The sequence below is a fragment of the Homo sapiens genome, chromosome 2 (genome assembly GCF_000001405.40).
Source record: "Homo sapiens chromosome 2, GRCh38.p14 Primary Assembly".
In the NCBI taxonomy this organism is placed as follows: Eukaryota; Metazoa; Chordata; class Mammalia; order Primates; family Hominidae; genus Homo; species Homo sapiens.
In genome coordinates this window covers 20,378,346-20,384,598 of record NC_000002.12, presented here as the reverse complement: position 1 = coordinate 20,384,598, position 6,253 = coordinate 20,378,346, and the positions used below count along the sequence as shown (strand labels likewise).

The following is a 6,253-nucleotide window of genomic DNA, read 5'->3' as shown; positions in this document are numbered from 1 at the left end:
CCTCTAACCTCCATGAAGTCTAGTTTCAAATGTCCTGGAATCTTAATAATGGCCAGAGCAGCAGGTAGCTGCTTTGCATCTAATAAGTCTTTTACACGAGGTTCATTATTTATTTTGTCTCTATTAGAAGAAAGGAGGCCCTGAGCCTACACTGGCTCAGGAGGCTTTTCTGATTCAAAAATTTAAAAATTATTCTCACTCCCGTATGTTGGCCCTCTGTTAAAATAGAAACAGGGGCCAGGCATGGTGGCTCATGCTTGTAATCCCAGCACTTTGGGAGGCCGAGGCGAGCAGATTACATGAGGCCAGGAGTCTGAGACCAGCCTGGCCAACATCTCTACCAAAAATACAAAAATTAGCTGTGCCTAGTGGTGCACGCCTGTAATCCCAGCAACTTGGGTGGGTGAGGCACGAGAATCGCTTGAACCCAGGAGGCGGAGGTTGCAGTGAGCCGAGGTCACACCATTGTACTCCAGCCTGGATGACAGAGCGAGACCCTGTTTCAAACAAAACAAAACAAAACAAAAATACAAATGGGAATTGATTTATGTCCCACTCCTTAATACATGTAAACTTTGTGCAAAAATATCTTCTATGAAAAGATTTGTAATCTGTAGACTTAATATCTGGGAGATGTCCTTAGATGTAAAATCCCATCGTTTGGGTTGTGGGTTTTTTGTTTTCTCCAAATAAATCTGATCTTTAAAGTTAAAAAAAAAAAGCTTTTTAATTAAATTTTTTAAAAATGTTTAAAGAAAATGAGAAAATAAAATTAAAACAAGAAAACATCTCTGCTTCCACAATCTTTCAAAATCATGAGCAAGTTTGAATGCATATCTACTATCTGTATAAATGTTAGCGGTTTTTCTCTTGGCAAGGAAGCAGGCTCAAATGAGGGCAAATAGCTCTGTCTGCTGGACTGAAGTAGCTAAAGCAAAGAGGCTGCTTCCAGTCTCCAAGGAAGTGGTAATAACATAACCTGCTTATTGTTTACCAGTATCATCCTGTATGAGCCATCTATAAACCAGGACAGCTGTAAAATGTGGCTGATGATTCTCCCACAAAAGTATTCATGAGAATAATATGAAAATGCTTATGTCCCATTCTCCTACGGAGATGGATGAAGTTATGTTGACGTCGAAAACTCACGCTTCCTGCTCTTACTCACCTTGATCATACGTGACCTCCAGTCCCCTGCAAAGTCTTCTGAAGTGTTTCAGGGACTTCTCAGGAAATGTCTTACCTGTGCTGAAAGCCAGCCTGCCAGCCTCATTCTATGTATGGCATCTCCTCTGCTCTTTCTCCTGCCCCAATTCTCCCCATCTGTGCCCAATGCCAAGAGTCAGTAGCTTTTTCTGAAAATACCAGGTAGTCAATATTTTACTCTTTGCTGTGCACACAGTCCCTGTCACAGTGACTCAACTCTGTGAGAAAGCAGCCATCGACGATATGTCAACAAATGAGTGTGGCAAGTTTCTCAATAAAACTTTATTTATGAACAATGAGATTTCCATTTTAATTTCATATAATTTTTGTATGTCATAAAATATTATTCTTTTTTTGCTTTTTTTCCCCCAATCTTTTTGAAATGTAAAAAACGTTCTTAGCTCACAGGCCATAAAACAAAGACAGGGAGCAGGCCAGGTTTTCCCACTGGCTGCAGTTTGCCAACCACTGCCCTATACCCATGACACTGCAGCGGAGGCCCCTCACTCCTATGAAAACGCCAATGTATCCAAGGATGCTGCCTGCAGTGTTTCCAAAGCTTCCAGTCCTCAAAGTGCTGGGAGGTGCTGGGATCCATGCAGAAATGAAGGAAGTTTCCTTTTCCCAGCTTTGCAAAATACTTTGTCACCTCAACCTAGAAGCTTCAGTTGCCCATATGCCCAGAGATAATCAAAGTGCAACCATATAATGAGGTCATACCCAAAGCTGACTGAGTCCTCCTCTTATAACCTCACCCAGGGGTGGATCCAGGTTTTGTGGCGCTTGAAGCATGTAAAATTTGGAGGTCCTTTTTTAGGCTGGGCATGGTGGCTCACGCTTGTAATCCCAGCACTTTGGGAGGCAGAGGTGGGCGGATCACGAGGTCAGGAATTCAAAACCAGCCTGGCCAATATGGCGAAACCTGGTCTCCACTACAAATACAAAAATTAGCCGGGCATGGTGGCGCGTACCTGTAGTCCCAGCTACTCAGGAGGATGAGGCAGAAGAATCACTTGAATCCGGGGGGCGGAGGTTGCAGTGAGCTGAGATCGTGCCACTGCACTCCAGTCTGGGCGACAGAGCAAGCCCACATCTCAAAAAAAAAAAAAATTTGGAGGCCCTCTTTTAATACAAGATGGGTGTGATGGTGGCATCAGTGAAAATGGTGGAATAAGAAACTCCAAAAGCCTGTGCCTCCCTAAAATCAATGAAAAATACTGTAAGAATTAACTTTCTCAGGATTCTTTTTTTTTTTTTTTCTTTATAGAGACAGGCTGTCACTATGTTGCCCAAGCTAGTCTCAAACTCCTGGCGGCAAGTGACTCTTCCACCTCAGCTTTCCAAAGTGCTGGGATTACAGATGTGGGCCACCACACTCAGCCAACTTTTTCAGAATTCTGGAAACTAATCAAAAGCTTATAGTAATCAGGAGAGTGTCTAAGCTAGTAAAACAGTTGCATCCTGGTAAGAGCAGGGGGTCTCTGTGACATTTTAACTGACTCTGGTCTCATCCTCCTCTCCCCAGCTCAGCAGTAGCCTTGAAAATAACAGCCTGTATTCCCAGTATTACAAACTGTCCCAGAGGGAGCAGAATGGGAACACAAAGAATTGTAATTATTGGTTCTGTCCCTGGAAGACCAGCTCAAAAGGCCTGCCCTTAGCTCATCTAACTTGGAACTCAGCCAAGCTAACACAGCAGGCAGCAATTGCTAACAGTCAAGGCATACAATAGACTAACTAATGCACTTGGATGGAAAGCCTAGGGGAATGAGTTCCTTCGGGCAATAAGGACTTTGAAAACTTCTCATAGATTCCTGGAAATCTAGAAGGCCACACACCTAAAGTGGTACGCATGCTCAGAAAAGACCTGATAAGGCTCTAAAATTCCATGTCAGGGTGACCTTCCCCTCAGGCTCTGTTCAAGCAGGTGAGGGCTAAGGCACAATTGCAAACCACCTGGCTGAATGTTGAAGATCTGTCCCAACACCTACAAAAAGCCCATCTGCAAAGACTGGGAGATATTTTGGTATCAGGTGTTCAAGGAAAGCTCTTTCTAATCATTAGCTGACTACTATAAGTCATGGATAATGGAATATAATTGAGAGTATCGAGAAATAAACTCATATATTTATGATCTACTGATTTTCAAGAAGGGTATCAAGATAATTCAATGGAGAATTGTCTTTACAACAAATGATGTTGGGAGACTGGATAGCTACGTGAAAATAAATGAATTTGGACTCTAACAGCTTAGTCCCTGGGCTGCTGGGGGAGGGAGAGGGTAGAAGGGAGGCGTGGCTGCTGGGGCCCCCTCTAGACAAGCACTCTGGTCCCCAACCTGCTGTTCCAGGGGTTCCTTCCAAGCACACTCTTTCCCCAACAAGATCATTCCATTTTTGTCCCCGTCATTTGGGAAAATGTAGTTTCTCCTAGCTTAACCATGCCTTCAGCAACACAGAGCCATGCATGCTTCTCAGATGTAGCTCCTTGGATCTCTGGTCACAATGGGCCTTTTAGGAAGCACTGGGGCCTCACACACCCTGGCAAGAAGCCCAGGGAGAGGGTCCTGCATGAGGTGGAGTGGAGCAGCCCAGGGCCTTTGATACCCTGGACAATATTGGTGTCAAGAAATTCTTTCTGTATGAACAGACGCTTCTCAGAAAAAGACATTTATGCAGCCAATAAACATGAAAAAAAAGCTCAACATCACTGATCATTAAAGAAATGCAAATCAAAACCACAATGAGATACTATCTCACACCAGTCAGAATGGCAATTATTAAAGTCAAGAAACAGGCTGCGCACGATGGCTCATGCCTGTAATCCCAGCCCTTTGGGAGGCCGAGGGGGACAGATCACTAAGGTCAGAAGTTTGAGACCAGCCTGGCCAACATGGTGAAACCCCGTCTCTACTAAAACTTACAAAAATTAGCTGGACGAGGTGGCACACGCCTGTACTCCCAGCTACTTGGGAGGCTGAGGTGGAAGGATCGCTTGAACCCGGGAGGTGGAGGTTGCAGTGAGCTGAGATCGCGCCACTGCACTCCAGCCTTGGCAACACAGTAAGATTCTGTCTAAAAATAAAAAAAAAAAAAAGTCAAGAAACAACAGATGCTGGCGAGGATGTGGAGAAATAGGAATGCTTTTACACTGTTGGTGGGAATGCAAATTTGTTGAACCATTGTGGAAGACAGTGTGGCGATTCCTCAAGAATCTAGAACCAGAAATACCATTTGACCCAGCAATCCCATTACTGGATATATACTCAAAGGAATATAAATCATTCTATTATAAAATGCATGCACACGTATGTTTATTGCAGCACTATTCACAATAGCAAAGACACGGAATCAACCCAAATGCCCATCAATGGTAGACTGGATAAAGAAAATGTGGCACATATACACCATGGAATACTATGCAGCCATATAAAGAAATGAGATTATGTCCCTGAGAGAGACATGGATGGAACTGGAAGCCATTATCTTCAGCAAACCAGCACAGGAACAGAAAACCAAACACTGCATGTTCTAACTTATAAGTGGGAGCTGAACAATGAGAACACATGGACACAGGGAGGGGAGCAAAACACACTAGGGCCTATTGTGGGGTGGGCAGGGGGAGGGAGAGCATCCGGATAAATAGCTAATGCGTGCGTGGCTTAATACCTCGGTGATGGGTTGATAGGTGCAGCAAACCACCATGGCACACGTTTACCTATGTAACAAAACTGCACATCCTGCACATGTACCTGGAACTTAAAATTTTAAAAAAAGAAAAAAGAAATCCTTTTAAGAACACTCTGGGACACAAATGATGGGAACAAGACCAAGTCCTGATTTCTGAAAGCTCCGTGGCCCTACAGCCCCAGGAGCAAGAAGGAGAAAGTGATTGTCAACTCAGAGACCTCGAGTAGGTGCCAGGCCTCTCCCATCTGTCAAGGCAGGAACAGCTGGCCACAGCCTCCAAGCTTCAGCAAAGCCAGGCAAAGAAGCAGCCGTTCCTGCCCTATCTACTGAACCCAGTATTTCCCACCCACGAGAGCCCTATAAGGACAGGACAGAGTCCTGGGAGAGGAGCTGCCTCACGGCCCAAGAGCAATCTTGGCACCGCTCCCTACGGGAGCACCAGGCCCAGGCAAAGGCTGGGAGGGTGGACGCCCAGGCCTGGACTGGGGGCTGCCGCCCTCTAGTGGGCCCAGAGGGACAGAGGGAGAGAGAAGAACTGGACAGAGAGAAAGAGGAGAAAGAGGAGAAAGACAGAGAGAGAGAGAGAGAGAGGGCGTCAAGGCAAAGGGGAAACAGAAGGACATGGACAGGCGAGAAGTAGGGAGAAGCAGTCTCATTCCCGGGCAATTCAGCTTCCCACTGGGCAGTGCATATTTCACCTGATTTGTACATTGGTCCCTGAGAGCTCTGTGAGGGCGAGTGTGGCCAGGGCTCTCATTCATCACCAATAGCTCTGACGGAGTTGGGAATTCCTGAGCCACTGTTCTTTGCTGATCTTATCCGGCTGCCTCCTCCTGTGAGATTGCACCGAGGACCCGCTGCCAGATGGGTCAACTTAGGTGTCATCTCCTTCTGACTCCAACTGTCCCATCCATTCCTCTGATTTCCACCCAATCCTTATATTTTTGCTAAATCTGTAGTTCTATTCTTGACCTCCCTCCAGAGCTTCAGACCTGTACACCAAGTTATCCACTGAACACCCCTCGTGCACGCCCCTGAAACACCTCACACTCACTATGTGCAAAATGGAGCTCATCGCCTTCCCCAAACCCACTCCTCTTTGTGGCGTCTCTAATCTTCAGCAACCCTACCATGTTTACTTAACATGGTAAACACTGCGAGGGGCCACCAAGGCTCCCCTCAGGAATGAGGGGTTTATTCTCCCAACTGCTAGAAGCACTGCCGGCAGAAAACCAGGGGTTTCCTCAACTGCAGAGAGCCCCTCACCCAAGCTCATTCCTTTCCCAGAAAGGTCCACATCCTGTGACCCATCAATGTGAGAACACAAAGACCCAGACCCGTTGCCCCGGCTGGCACAA

At 45.9% G+C, this 6,253-nt stretch overlaps 1 annotated feature.

Moving 5' to 3' along the window:
- Positions 2,483 to 3,314: an enhancer, noted in NCBI's record as "NANOG-H3K4me1 hESC enhancer chr2:20581046-20581877 (GRCh37/hg19 assembly coordinates)". NCBI's record gives its function as "activates a minimal SCP1, AML or CMV promoter by ChIP-STARR-seq in naive H9 embryonic stem cells {active_cell/tissue: H9 hESC(naive)}" and the evidence as "EXISTENCE:reporter gene assay evidence [ECO:0000049][PMID:30033119]".